Genomic DNA, 15673 nt, shown 5'->3' on the forward strand with positions numbered 1-15673 from the left:
AATGAAACATTCTGGTATTTCACACATGCCAAGGTTACTAGTAAGCATACTTTTTATGGCTTGTCTTTGGTATATGACCATATTTGTTCAGCAATCCACATTATTAATACCGAATAGTAGCCATGCAAATTATAACTTATCCACAAAAATATAACACTGAATAAAGAGGTAGGGTAATTTTATATTCACAGGACAAGAAGCCAAAAAATTGGCTGTTTCAGCTCAACATTTATCAAAGGCTTGTAGGTGCCAAAAGCTATTCTAGGCACTTGGAATATTTCAAGATTAATATATTAAAACTCCTGGGCAACTGCAACTACTCTTCTCCCAAACACTAAAAGCTGACTAATTAAATGTAACTCCCATATATAGGATACCATGACTGGGTTATCTACAAAGAAGTTTCATCAAACTTAAAAGATAGTTTAAAATACTGTGAAAAAATCAGTTACTGAATGTGAATGATACGAGGACTTGAGCTGTGTTTGTGAGTCTGATCACAAAAATCAGAAATTTAAGTCACATATACTATTTTATAGAGCCCCAAATACTTAAAAACCAAAAGGACTCAATGAATACTAATCTTACAGTGATTTTTACTCATAATGTAACCAGAAGAGTCAGAGAAACTTTTATCACCCATTAGAATACAGGAGTTTTACCTTTTTCCTAATTCTAGTACCACTACCATTAATTACCACAATTCGTTACCAGCTCAAGTGCCAACTCTGTGATCTGGCCCATGTTGAGTAAGAATCAGCACTTAAATAGACAAAATCTCTACCCTTTACAACTCAGACTCAGTTACAATCACTGGAATATGTCTAATTAACCCACAACTTAATTCTATGCCTTCATCTTTTCCTACATGTTTCCCAAAGGAAAAGTATAGATCAGATTTTGAAGGTCCTTCTTTAATATCTATGCTGACAATCAGATAATTTGTTTTATGACTTTTAAAATATGTGAAGTACTCATATAACTATTAGCAAACTGTCAAGCAATAAAACATAAAAAAAAGGCCAACAGAAACAACAAACAGCAAAGAACAGGCACAAAAAGAACATGAAACAGCCAATACAAATATGAAAAGATAGCCTACCTAATAGTCAAAATAAACATCATCATCACAGTAAAAATAGCATTTATTGTGCTTTCTTTATGTAAGAGTGAATATGCAATAAACACCCAATTAATTAATCAATGAATTACTAAATAGACAACAAACTACCTGAGAAAATAAGCAAATTTTCAAATAAGAGGTAACATTTTCAGCTGGGCCTTCATGGATGCAAATACACTAGGCAAAGACTGGGGGTAGGGATAACACTAAAAGAAGTGCAGAGGATGAGGCAAGGGCATACATATAATCACCAAAATATGAAGCCAGTTCTTATTCTAGGAGCCAGTTCTCATTGTAACACTGAACTGGAAAGTACCTGATAAAACAGTGACAAGGTATGAAACTGTACAGGAAGAAAGGAGGTAATACATAAACTCTGTTTATACATCAGGCTAAAAAATTTGAACTTAAATGTTTTATTTAAAAGACATGTAACTTAATTGGACTTGCTCTTTCCTGTGCCTTTTATTTTCAATTTTCAAGGAAATATTTGTTCAAAAATAGACAATAGTCAATAATTCAGAATCAAGAACGCTTTACCCCTAATAAGATTTCTTTCAAAGACAAGCACAATTCCACACACAAAATAAATATGTTACTTAGGTGGTTCTCCAAGACTTACTACTCTTAAAACAAATTAAAAATTTAGAATCTATTGTCAACTCCCTAAATCATCACATAATTTTGTTTCTTCTCTATAATAAATGAAGCTCACTATATATAAATATGTACAAATAGAATATGCAAATTATACATAGACAATATCCAGAAAGTTTCTAATAATGTAATCTAAACTGTCCATTACTCTGAGAAAGCTTACTATTAATGTGGTTAATATATGTAGTATATACATAATCAAATGAATTATAAAGTTAAGGTCTCACATCAGAACAGGATTATGCTGTCACAACAACATCCATCTGGGTCCACTTGAGCACCAATCCAACCTTGTTCTCAACCTATATTTTATAGTTTTTATTAACAATTTAAAGATAAGCACAAAACAATTTCAGTAATCATGTTTTTATATCTTTTTTTAGATTTATAAAGGTTAAAGCTGTCAATAAAGTTTTACATCCACAGATCATACATGAATTCATTTAAGTGAATATAATAATAAGAAAAGTCAATTCAAGGGCTCTACCTGACATACCCAAATGAACAAGAGTAAAAAGAGATGCAAGCAAATGAGTAAACCAGTATCTGAGATACTCACTCCAAGGAAAAGGCCCCAAACATAAAGCATGAGTTTCAAGGACAAGATAAAACTCCTAAAAAGAGATTAAGAGAAATAAATGGGGTACTAGGCAAGAATAATACAAAATGTCACACAGGATTATTAACTGGATTACAAAAAAGGTACATGAATAGAAAATAAATAAGCAAATGACTAATTAGTAAAATCAAGGAACAGGGTCAGAGGAGTAACAACGGTAAAAACTGCTATGGTGAATAACAAAAATATATGAGATACAGCATTCTTAGATACTAGCATTAGCCGACTAGAAAATATAACAGCAACAAAAGATCATTCACATTAGCAGTAAAAATGACAAAGCTCCTAGAAGCAAATCAAATTTAAAACGTATATAATTTTCTTTTTCTTTTTTTTTTAGATGGAGTTTCACTCTTTCGCCTAGGCTAGACTGCAGTGGCGCAATCTCAGCTCATTGCAACCTCTGCCCCGCAGGTTCAAGAGATTCTCCTGCCTCAGCCTCCAGAGTAGCTGGGATTATAGGCACCTGCCAGCACACCCAGCTAATTTTTTTGTATTTTTAGTAGAGACAGAGTTTTGCCGTGTTGGCCAGGCTGGTCTCAAACTCCTGACCTCAGGTGATCCACCTGCCTTGGCCTCCAGAAGTGCCAGGATTACAGGCGTGAGCCACCGCACCCGGCCGAATGATTTTCAAGAGGATTTAAAAATGCATTTAAATACAAAAAAGAAGAACTGAACACAAAGATATTCTATGATCATGCATTGGAAAATATTAGTTAACACAAATTATGAGTTAAATGTAATTCCAATCACAAACCCAGCAAGACTTTTTGTGGAGCTTGACAACTTATTCTAAAACTTATGTGAGGCCAGACACGGTGGCTCATGCCTCTAATCTCAACACTTTAGATGACCGGGTGGATCACCCCACGTCAGGAGTTCCAGACCAGCCTGGCCAACGTGGCGAAACCCTATCTCTACTAAAAATATAAAAATTAGCTGGGTGTGATAGTGGGTGCTTATAATCCCAGCTACTAGGGAGGATGAGGCACAAGAATCACTTGAATCTGGGAGGCGGAAGTTGCAGTGAGCCAAGATCACGCCATTGCACTCCAGCCTGGGGAACAAGAACGAAACTCCGACTCAAAATAAAATAAAAAATAAAATAAATAAATAAATAAAACTTATAAGAGAGATCAAGGAAAACAAAGACAAGGGAATTGCATCCCAAACATCAAGCACGCCACCATATAATTAAGAACATATTTCTGGATCCGGGAGCCAAGATGGCTGAATAGGAACAGCTCTGGTCTACAGCTCCCAGCGTGAGCGACGCAGAAGACGGGTGATTTCTGCATTTCCATCTGAGGTACCAGGTTCATCTCACTAGAGAGTGCCAGACAGTGGGCGCAGGACAGTGGGTGCAGCGCACCGTGTGCGAGCCTAAGCAGGGCGAGGCATTGCCTCACTCGGGAAGCGCAAGGGGTTCAGGGAGTTCCCTTTCCTAGTCAAAGAAAGGGGTGACAGAGGGCACCTGGAAAATCGGGTCACTCCCACCCGAATACTGCGCTTTTCCGACGCGCTTAAAAAACGGTTCACCAGGAGATTATATCCCACACCTGGCTCGGAGGGTCCTACGCCCAAGGAGTCTCACTGATTGCTAGCACAGCAGTCTGAGATCAAACTGCAAGGCAGCGGCGAGGCTGGGGGAGGGGCGCCCGCCATTGCCCAAGCTTGCTTAGGTAAACAAAGCAGCCGGGAAGCTCCAACTGGGTGGAGCCCACCACAGCTCAAGGAGGCCTGCCTGCCTCTGTAGGCTCCACCTCTGGGGGCAGGGCACAGACAAACAAAAAGACAGCAGTAACCTCTGCAGACTTAAATGTCCCTGTCTGAACAGCTTTGAAGACAGCAGTGGTTCTCCCAGCACGCAGCTGGAGATCTGAGAACGGGCAGACTGCCTCCTCAAGTGGGTCCCTGACCCCTGACCCTGGAGCAGCCTAACTGGGAGGCACCCCCAAGTAGGGGCAGACTGACACCTCACACGGCCGGGTACTCCTCTGAGACAAAACTTCCAGAGGAACGATCAGACAGCAGCATTCGCGGTTCATGAAAATCCGCTGTTCTGCAGCCACCGCTGCTGGTACCCAGGCAAACAGAGTCTGTAGTGGACCTCTAGCAAACTCCAACACACCTGCAGCTGAGGGTCCTGTCTGTTAGAAGGAAAACTAACAAACAGAAAGGACATCCACACCAAAAACCCATCTGTACATCACCATCATCAAAGACCAAAAGTAGATAAAACCACAAAGATGGGGAAAAAACAGAGCAGAAAAACTGGAAACTCTAAAAAGCAGAGTGCCTCTCCTCCTCCAAAGGAACGCAGCTCCTCACCAGCAACGGAACAAAGCTGGACGGAGAATGACTTTGACGAGTTGAGAGAAGAAGGCTTCAGACAATCAAACTACTCCAAGCTACAGGAGGAAATTCAAACCAAAGGCAAAGAAGTTGAAAACTTTGAAAAAAATTTAGACGAATGTATAACTAGAATAACCAATACAGAGAAGTGCTTAAAGGAGCTGATGGAGCTGAAAGCCAAGGCTCGAGAACTACGTGAAGAATGCAGAAGCCTCAGGAGCCGATGCGATCAACTGGAAGAAAGGGTATCAGTGATGGAAGACGAAATAAATGAAATGAAGCGAGAAGGGAAGTTTAGAGAAAAAGAACAAAAAGAAATGAACAAAGCCTCCAAGAAATATGGGACTATGTGAAAAGACCAGATCTTCGTCTCACTGGTGTACCTGAAAGTGACGGGGAGAATGGAACCAAGTTGGAAAACACTCTGCAGGATATTATCCAGGAGAACTTCCCCAATCTAGCAAGGCAGGCCAACATTCAGATTCAGGAAATACAGAGAACGCCACAAAGATACTCCTCGAGAAGAGCAACTCCAAGACACATAATTGTCAGATTCACCAAAGTTAAAATGAAGGAAAAAATGTTAAGGGCAGCCAGAGAGAAAGGTCGGGTTACCCACAAAGGGAAGCCCATCAGACTAACAGCTGATCTCTCAGCAGAAACTCTACAAGCCAGAAGACAGTGGGGGCCAATATTCAAGATTATTAAAGAAAAGAATTTTTAAACCAGAATTTCATATCCAGCCAAACTAAGCTTCATAAGTGAAGGAGAAATAAAATACTTAACAGACAAGCAAAGGCTGAGAGATTTTGTCACCACCAGGCGTGCCCTAAAAGAGCTCCTGAAGGAAGCAATAAACATGGAAAGGAACAACCGGTACCAGCCACTGCAAAATCATGCCAAATTGTAAAGACCATCGAGGCTAGGAAGAAACGGTATCAACTAATGAGCAAAATAACCAGCTAACATCATAATGACAGGATCAAATTCACATATAACAATATTAACTTTAAATGTAAATGGACTAAATGCTCCAATTAAAAGATACAGACTGGCAAATTGGATAAAGAGTCAAGACCCATCAGTGTGCTGTATTCAGGAAACCCATCTCACAAGCAGAGACACACAAAGGCTCAAAATAAAAGGATGGAGGAAGATCTACCAAGCAAATGGAAAACAAAAAAAGGCAGGGGTTGCAATCCTAGTCTCTGATAAAACAGACTTTAAACCAACAAAGATCAAAAGAGACAAAGAAGGCCATTACATAATGGTAGAGGGATCAATTCAACAAGAAGAGCTAACTATCCTAAACATATATGCACCCAATACAGGAGCACCCAGATTCATAAAGCAAGTCCTGACTGACCTACATAGAGACTTAGACTCCCACACAATAATAATGGGAGACTTTAACACCCCACTGTCAACATTAGACAGATCAACCAGACAGAAAGTTAACAAGGATATCCAGGAATTGAACTCAGCTGTGTACCAAGTGGACCTAATAGACATCTACAGAACTCTCCACCCCAAATCAACAGAATATACATTTTTTTCAGCACCACACCACACCTGTTCCAAAATTGACCACATAGTTGGAAGTAAAGCTCTCCTCAGCAAATGTAAAAGATCAGAAATTATAACAAACTGTCTCTCAGACCACAGTACAATCAAACTAGAACTCAGGATTAAGACACTCACTCAAAACCACTCAACTACATGGAAACTGAACAACCTGCTCCTGAATGACTACTGGGTACATAATGAAACGAAGGCAGAAATAAAGATGGTCTTTAAAACCAATGAGAACAAAGACACAACATACCAGAATCGCTGGGACACATTCAAAGCAGTGTGTAGAGGGAAATTTATAGCACTAAATGCCCACAAGAGAAAGCAGGAAAGATCCAAAATTGACACCCTAACATCACAATTAAAAGAACTAGAAAAGCAAGAGCAAACACATTCAAAAGCTAGCAGAAGGCAAGAAATAACTAAAATCGAACCAGAACTGAAGGAAATAGAGACACAAAAGACTAATGAATCCAGGAGCTGGTTTTTTGAAAGGATCATCAAAATTGATAGACTGCTAGCAAGACTAATGAAGAAAAGAGAGAAGAATCAAATAGAAGCAATAAAAAATGATAAAGGGGATATCACGACCGATCCCACAGAAATACAAACTACCATCAGAGAATACTACAAACACCTCTACGCAAATAAACTAGAAAATCTAGAAGAAATGGATAAATTCCTCGACACATACACCCTCCCAAGACTAAACCAGGAAGAAGTTGAATCTCTGAATAGAACAATAACAGGCTCTGAAATTGTGGCAATAATCAATAGCTTACCAACCAAAAAGAGTCCAGGACCAGATGGATTCACAGCCGAATTCTACCAGAGGTACAAGGAGGAACTGGTACCATTCCTTCTGAAACTATTCCAATCAATAGAAAAAGAGGGAATTCTCCCAAACTCATTTTATGAGGCCAGCATCATCCTGATACCAAAGCCGGGCAGAAACACAACCAAAAAAGAGAATTTTAGACCAATATCCTTGATGAACGTTGATGCAAAAATGCTCAATAAAATACTGGCAAAACGAATCCAGCAGCACATCAAAAAGCTTATCCACCATGACCAAGTGGGATTCATCCCTGGGATGCAAGGCTGGTTCAACATACGCAAATCAATAAACGTAATCCATCACGTAAACAGAACCAACGACAAAAACCATATGATTATCTCAATAGATGCAGAAAAGGCCTTTGACAAAATTCAACAACGCTTCATGCTAAAAACTCTCAATAAATTATGTATCGATGGGACATATCTCAAAATAATAAGAGCTATCTATGACAAACCCACAGCCAATATCATACTGAATGGGCAAAAACTGGAAGCATTCCCTTTGAAAACTGGCACAAGACAGGGATGCCCTCTCACCACTCCTATTCAACACAGTGTTGGAAGTTCTGGCCAGGGCAATTAGGCAGGAGAAGGAAATCAAGGGTATTCAATTAGGAAAAGAGGAAGGCAAATTGTCCCTGTTTGCAGATGACATGATTGGATATCTAGAAAACCCCATTGTCTTAGCCCAAAATCTCCTTAAGCTGATAAGCAACTTCAGCAAAGTCTCAGGATACAAAATCAATGTACAAAAATCACAAGCATTCTTATACACCAATAACAGACAAACAGAGAGCCAAATCATGAGTGAATTCCCATTCACAATTGCTTCAAAGAGAATAAAATACCTAGGAATCCAACTTACAAGGGACGTGAAGGACCTCTTCAAGGAGAACTACAAACCACTGCTCAATGAAATAAAAGAGGATACAAAGAAATGGAAGAACATTCCATGCTCATGGGTAGGAAGAATCAATATCGTGAAAATGGCCATACTGCCCAAGGTATTTTATAGATTCAATGCCATCCCCATCAAGCTACCAATGACTTTCTTCACAGAATTGGACAAAAGTACTTTAAAGTTCATATGGAAAAAAAAAAAAAAGAGCCCGCATCGCCAAGTCAATCCTAAGCCAAAAGAACAAAGCTGGAGGCATCATACTACCTGACTTCAAACTATACTACAAGGCTACAGTAACCAAAACAGCATGGTACTGGTACCAAAACAGAGATATAGATCAATGGAACAGAACAGAGCCCTCAGAAATAATGCTTCATATCTACAACTATCTGATCTTTGACAAACCTGAGAAAAACAAGCAATGGGGAAAGGATTCCCTATTTAATAAATGGTGCTGGGAAAACTGGCTAGCGACATGTAGAAAGCTGAAACTGGATCCCTTCCTTACACTTTATACAAAAATTAATTCAAGATGGATTAAAGACTTAAACGTTAGACCTAAAACCATAACAACCCTAGAAGAAAACCTAGGCATTACCATTCAGGACATAGGCATGGGCAAGGACTTCATGTCTAAAACACCAAAAGCAATGGCAACAAAAGCCAAAATTGACAAATGGGATCTAATTAAACTAAAGAACTTCTGCACAGCAAAAGAAACTACCATCAGAGTGAACAGGCAACCTACAAAATGGGAGAAAATTTTCGCAACCTACTCATCTGACAAAGGGCTAATATCCAGAATCTACAATGAACTCAAACAAATTTACAAGAAAAAAACAACCCCATCAAAAGTGGGCGAAGGACATGAACAGACACTTCTCAAAAGAAGACATTTATGCAGCCAAAAAACACATGAGAAAATGCTCACCATCACTGGCCATCAGAGAAATGCAAATCAAAACCACAATGAGATACCATCTCACACCAGTTAGAATGGCAATCATTAAAAAGTCAGGAAACAACAGGTGCTGGAGAGGATGTGGAGAAATAGGAACACTTTTACACTGTTGATGGGAATGTAAACTAGTTCAACCATTGTGGAAGGCAGTGTGGCGATTCCTCAGGGATCTAGAACTAGAAATACCATTTGACCCAGCCATCTCATTACTGGGTATATACCCAAAGGACTATAAATCATGCTGCTATAAAGACACATGCACACGTATCTTTATTGCAGCACTATTCACAGTAGCAAAGACTTGGAACCAACCCAAATGTCCAACAATGATAGACTGGATTAAGAAAATGTGGCACATATATACCATGGAATACTATGCAGCCACAAAAAATAATGAGTTCATGTCCTTTGTAGGGACATGGATGAAATTGGAAATCATCATTCTCAGTAAAGTATCACAAGAACCAAAAAACCAAACGCTGCATATTCTCACTCATAGGTGGGAACTGAACAATGAGAACACATGGACACAGGAAGGGGAACATCGCACTCTGGGGACTGTTGTGGGGTGGGGGGTGGGGGGAGGGATAGCATTAGGAGATATACCTAATGCTAAATGACGAGTTAATGGGTACAGCACACCAGCATGGCACATGTATACATATGTAACTAACCTGCACATTGTGCACATGTACCCTAAAACTTAAAGTATAATAATAATTAAAAAAAACATATTTCTGTTGCAGAAGCAGGCAAATAAATCTCTGCTAGAACAGACAGACCAAATATAGAGACAAATATATACATAACTTTAGTAGGACAGGCTTATAAGCCAGTTAAAAAGGGATAGAAAATTGTGTTAGGACAATTAGATTTCCACACAGAAAAAAAAAAAAGTGCTGTATACCCCTATCTCCTATCATATACAGAAATAAACTCCAGCTAGATTAAAGATGTAGGTAAAAAGCCAGCCTATTGCAAGATAAGAGTGACACCATTTCAAAGCAAAACCACCATAATGACAGGAGTTTGGCTCCAGCAGCAAGGTCTTTAAACAATGCCTGTAGCATAGACAACCCCTCATAAAGATGTTTATCTAACCTCTCCAGTGGTCATGAGTAGCAACAAAGTCTGAGGTGTAACCAGCTGCATATGTTTTACCAAAAAAGCTTGCTATATAAAGGATATTTTCGGGAGGGTGGATGTGGGAATACACCACCTCTTGGCCACCCAAAACATTATTTCTGTTTGTTAGTCTGTAATAAATGTTTTTTTATAAGAAACTGGATTTGTCAGTGTCTTTCTTCAGCTCTCAGCTCCCTTAGCCTTTGGGGGTAGCTTTGCATATGTTTGCTCATAGCAGAACAGAACTGCTAATAACAAAACTTGTACTATTTGAAAGAGTTCCACTTCTGGTAGTGATAAACTAGATAATTCAGACCACTCTCCTGCTTAAAGAACTAAAATGTCTGGAGAAAATACATTTAAAAGTCTATGTTAAGGCTAATGAAGACACACGAGCAGTGTATTTTGTCTGAAAACAAAATATTAAAAAAAGAAAAAAGAAGAGGTAAGCCTAGCAATAAGGGCTGCTTTTCCCCAAGAGGCATCTATCAATTATGGAACAGAGGCCAAGAGGCTAATAAGCAGAGCAGACCTTTTGACTGACTTACAAGATGAGAAGGTCAAAGACTGGAAATCAAAACCTACCGAGAAACTGAGAAGCCCTATAATGCCAAAGGACCATATCCTAGATGTAAAGGAGGATCAACCCTCAAAAGTACAGTCATGTGTCACCTGACAACATGGATACATTCTGAAAGACATCATTAGGCAACTTCATCATTGTGTGAACATCACAGAGTGTGTTTACACAAACCTAGATGGTATAGCCTATTGCTCCTAGGCTACAAACCTGTGTAGCATGTTACCGTACAGAATGCTGTAGGCAGCAGCAACACAATGGTAAGTATTCGTGTATCTAAACACATCTAAACATAGAAAAAGTACAGTAAAAATACGATACTATAATCTTATGGGACCACAATTCTACATGCAGTCCATCATTGATAGAAACATCATTATGTAGCACATAACTGTACTGAAGCCCAGATTCAAATTATCTCTAACCCCAATTGAATTAAGTGATCCAGGATTGCTAGTTCTAGCCACCAGATAGAAACAAAAACCTTAAGTAAAATACGTCAACATTCAGAAGTTCAAATAACCTCTATCACGTTTTACGCAATGTCTAGCACTCTATCAAAGATCACAAGGCACAGACAAAAACAATAAAAAACAAGAGAAACAATATAAAATAGAAAGAGACCCACAGGAGATTAACATTTAAAAGATTAGCAGACAGAATTAGACTATAATTAATATGTTCTAGGATATGAGCCTAGGCAGCGAAGTGAGACCCTATCTCTTCAAAAAATCAAAAAAATTAGCCAGGCATGGTACCACACGACTGTGGTTCCAGCTACTCAGGAGGCTGAAGTGGGAAGATCACTTGAGCCCAGGAGGCCGGGGCTATAGTGAGCCATGATCACACCACTGCACTACAGCCTGAGTGACAGAGCAAGACCCTGTCTCAAAAATAAAAATAAAAAATAAAAATAAATTATGTTCTTGGATATAAAATACAAGATTTCTGGATAATATCTTTAAAAGGCTAAAAGGAATCACTAACCTAGAATTCTTTACCCAGCAAATATACTGTTCAGAAGTGAAGTGAGGGTCAGACATGGTGGCTCACATCAGTAATCCCAGCACTATGGGAAGCCAAGGCAGGAGAATTGCTTGAGACCAGGAGTTGAAGACCAGCCTGGGCAATATAGCCAGACCCCATCTCTACAAAATAAAATTGTTTTAATTAGCCAGGCATGATGGCATGCTCCTGAAGTCCTAGTTACTCAGGAGGCTAAGGCTGGAGGATCGCTTGAGCCCAGGAATTCAAGGTTGCAGTGAACTGTGATCACACCACTGCATTCTAGCCTGGGCAAAAGAGCGAGAACCTGTCTCAGAAAAAGGAAAAAAGAAAACATGAAGTAAAATAACAACATTTTCACCAAAAAAAAAAAAAAAAAAGACATTATCATCATACCCACCACACATAAGGAAATACTAACAGATATTCTTCAGACAACTGAGAAACACAGAAAGAAATAAAGAACAATAAAAAGCATAAATATATGAGTAAATATAAACATTTGCAATACAAAATAAGAATAACAATATAAAATAACAAGAATTCCATGTGCTATTTAAAATGTATACAGAATTTAAAGAAACAAAGCAGATCACAAAAAAAACAACAGACCATACAAGCTCTTAAAAACAAATTGCCATATTCTTAGGAAAAGATTGTTTCATGACCATGAAAACAATTACTAGAGTGAGTTTTACACCTGTTTAATCAAAGACGACTGTTAGACTCGTCAAATTTTTGAAAGCCAGTCAGTCAGTAATAGTCATGCTTCTGAAATTCAGACAATCAAGAGTTAACACTCTAGTGAACAAAGGCCTACAACATCCAGATATTTTTTAAATAGGATGTTACGTATCTTTATATTATTAACCTTAACAATAATGGTACTCTTTTTGGATAATAAATAAATGAAGAAAAATGTCCTTGCACTAGAAAAGAAAGATACAAATATTCTTGAGACTTAATAGGAGCTGTCATCAAGGCAACACTCAGAAACAATATACCTACAGCTCCTGATCAATCTCTTGTGCAGCTCTGGGTTCCTTTTCATATATGGAAATTAGACTCTTACCATGCCATCCCAGAACCCAGGGTACCTGTTGTGTGAGCGTAACAACTATGTTATTCCAAGTGTACAACTCCCCAACATGCTCAGTGGACTGTGTCTTATAACAAAGAATATGAATGGATAAAATCTTTCCTTTGATAACTGACAAAGAGTTTTCTGAAGATAATGATCTGATCCATACCTATCTTTAAGAACTATAGTATGTCTTCACAGTTGTAATTATTGGCAACAAGCATTAAACTTCTTGGATCAAATACTTCATATCTACTCAAAATTGTAACATTAACACTTAAAACTAAGAAAATAGAGATGTTTAAAATTTTCCATTTCACACACTACTTCATATTCCTACCTGATAACTTTAAATACCAAATGCACTGAGTTTAGCCCTGAAATGAGTTTAAAACAATTCTCTAACTGGGATATAATTACTTTCCACTGAAGCATTTTTCTGCCACTCAAGAATCATCTGATTTACATAAATGCTAGTTAAGCACCATAGAAATTCTAAAATATATCATTAGCAGAATGTCACAGATCACTTAATCTACTCTGTCAAAACAGGGATTATTTCAACTTCTGTTTCACTTCCCTTAAAAGAAATCCTATTTACTTTCTTTTCTCTAACAGGGAAAAAAAATTAGTAAAATAAACTTACAGTGTACTTCCCAAATCAAACTTTAAAATGATTCTGGTTAACTACAAATTGACTGAAGTATTTTTTCTGAATGTATTTTACTGAAACATGGCTGACAACATATAATAATGTTACTGCTACAGAATTACAAATTATTTCACTGATTACTCTTCCTATTCAAGAAAAAAAGGTCACTTTGGTCCATACAAATTGTCCAAATAAACTAGATGTATTACTAGCTTAAAGTAAACAATTTTGTAAATAGCACTTCTAGTTAGAGTTAAAACATAACCATAAAAAGCTTTTATTAAACAATACATTTCACTAAGCTAAATTTATAGAAATATATATATTTCTATCACTTTCACACATCCTGACAATATTTGGGAAAATAAATACAAAAATGTTTTTTTTTAATTCAGAAGTATATAATTTCTTCAAATATTCCAGCCATAAATTATAATACATAAAATTTAAGATACGTAAATACCATGAATATTATAAACTTTAAATAAAATTCTAGCCATAATTTATGAAACTCACATTATTAAACAACACACACACACGCTGATTCCAAATGAAGAAGAGAAGTACCATGGTAGTTTCTCTGTGACACACCAAAAATTATCCTAATAAATAAATTAAACAATCATGTAATTCCTAAATTTGTTACAGAAAGATATGTGGCTGGTTCTCACACCTCCTACTAGATATCTTTACACCACTTAAAACCTTTTCTTTTTTCATGCTATTATTTTCTGTGTAACAAAATACCAACTAGTCAGATTCTAAAATATCAATCTTTAGAAATGATATTAGCAAAACAATTTTAAAATACTTACTGTCTTGTTTCGTAATCTAATTATGTCTGAGACAGAGCCAGCGCCACAGTACTCCATAACAATCCAGAGGTCTGTATTCTTAAAATAACTGCCATAGTACTTTACAACATATGGGCTAAAGGAAAATACATAAACAATTAAATTTAGTTAATTCCCAAAGAAATTTTTTTCTTAATCCCAATACAAAGTATTTTCAACATTTCATACTGTTCCAATAAGTTAAATAAGTAAATTTCTATTGCACATCAAATTCTCAATATCTGGAGTTCACCAACTATGCATAATTAGGCTTTACTTCATGGACGAAATTTAACAGGATTACAAACCAGAAGAGGCCCAAATGTTTTGAGTGATTCTGAAGAAAATAAGACTTCATTTTGGCAAAGAACTTACTACTTAACATGAGGAACAAATGAAAATTTTTCCCTTTAACTAAAGCATTTTAAATATGTCTTCTAAAGGATTTTGCATTCAGTCAAATATTAATCAACTCGAAAATAATCTATATTTCCATGAGGCCAAAAAGTTATTTTAAATTTTCTTTCATTCTGGCTTTTGAAAATTCTAGAGAAAAAAAATTATAAATTTTTCTGCTTAAATTTATAGAATTAAAATATTAGCAATTTAATTTCTAAACTGAGGTCTTACGTCTTCCAGAGCAGAATAAACTATGTTTATAGCCAAGCTGTCTTCAGGAAGATTTAGAAAGGGACAAATGACCATCAGCAATAATGTATATTATGGATAAACTACATATAGTGATGTATGAGAAATCTAACCTATCTCAAAGAGGCAGAATATCATATTCAAAAAATGCATAGAGATAGAAAATACAAGACAGCAGAAACTAAATAGGACACAACTTTAATGCTACAAGAGCTCAAATGAGGAAATAACATTGGAATCATCCAAAGAGAACTTTGTGGAAGGGAGTGGGATTTGAATGAGATTTTGAAAGAAAAGTTTAAACTCCAAAATGTAGATGGAGAAGAGGGATAAGAAAATTCTAGAAAAGAGAAAGACCATGAATAAAGGTACACAAATAGAAAGGGAAAAACCAAGTATGGCATGTAAGAGGACAACTTGTTCAAATAAATACTTCTATCTAGTAATAGCTACAATCAAAAACAGTAGCCATTTTGCTGGGCACAAATGTAAGATAAATATGACAGAAAAACAAATAAGCAAAAAAAAAAAAAATTGAAAGTACAATAAAAGAACACGTAGAGACTCTATCAATTGTGGAGGTTAAGAGAAGACTGTCAGGGAAGACTTCTCAGTACAGCCTTTAAAATTTTAGCTATGCTCTAACACTGAGGCAGTAATAAACAGCCTACCATCCAAAAAAAAAAACCACCCAGGACCAGATGGACTTAGGGCCAAATTC

At 37.1% G+C, this 15673-nt stretch overlaps 1 protein-coding gene across 21 annotated transcripts in view, besides 2 other annotated features; it reads right to left on the bottom strand.

Annotated features, from left to right (window-relative positions):
* STK3 (serine/threonine kinase 3) overlaps positions 1-15673 on the bottom strand; it is a 598636-nt gene that overhangs the window by 391015 nt on the left and 191948 nt on the right. For all 21 annotated transcript variants that reach the window (XR_007060753.1, XR_007060752.1, XR_007060754.1 and 18 more), the window contains one exon: positions 14287-14401. Coding sequence is in view for 17 of the 21 variants with exons in the window: in XM_047422133.1 (XP_047278089.1) it covers positions 14287-14401 (115 nt within the window). In the remaining 4 variants the exon portion in view is untranslated. The remainder of the gene's footprint in view (positions 1-14286; positions 14402-15673) is intronic.
* Positions 3996-4495: an enhancer, noted in NCBI's record as "H3K4me1 hESC enhancer chr8:99751213-99751712 (GRCh37/hg19 assembly coordinates)". NCBI's record gives its function as "activates a minimal SCP1, AML or CMV promoter by ChIP-STARR-seq in primed H9 embryonic stem cells {active_cell/tissue: H9 hESC(primed)}" and the evidence as "EXISTENCE:reporter gene assay evidence [ECO:0000049][PMID:30033119]".
* Positions 10881-10950: an enhancer, noted in NCBI's record as "active region_27680". NCBI's record gives its function as "activates an Ori minimal core promoter by ATAC-STARR-seq in GM12878 lymphoblastoid cells {active_cell/tissue: GM12878}" and the evidence as "EXISTENCE:reporter gene assay evidence [ECO:0000049][PMID:35858748]".

The sequence above is a fragment of the Homo sapiens genome, chromosome 8, assembly GCF_000001405.40.
Source record: "Homo sapiens chromosome 8, GRCh38.p14 Primary Assembly".
Lineage (NCBI taxonomy): Eukaryota > Metazoa > Chordata > Mammalia > Primates > Hominidae > Homo > Homo sapiens.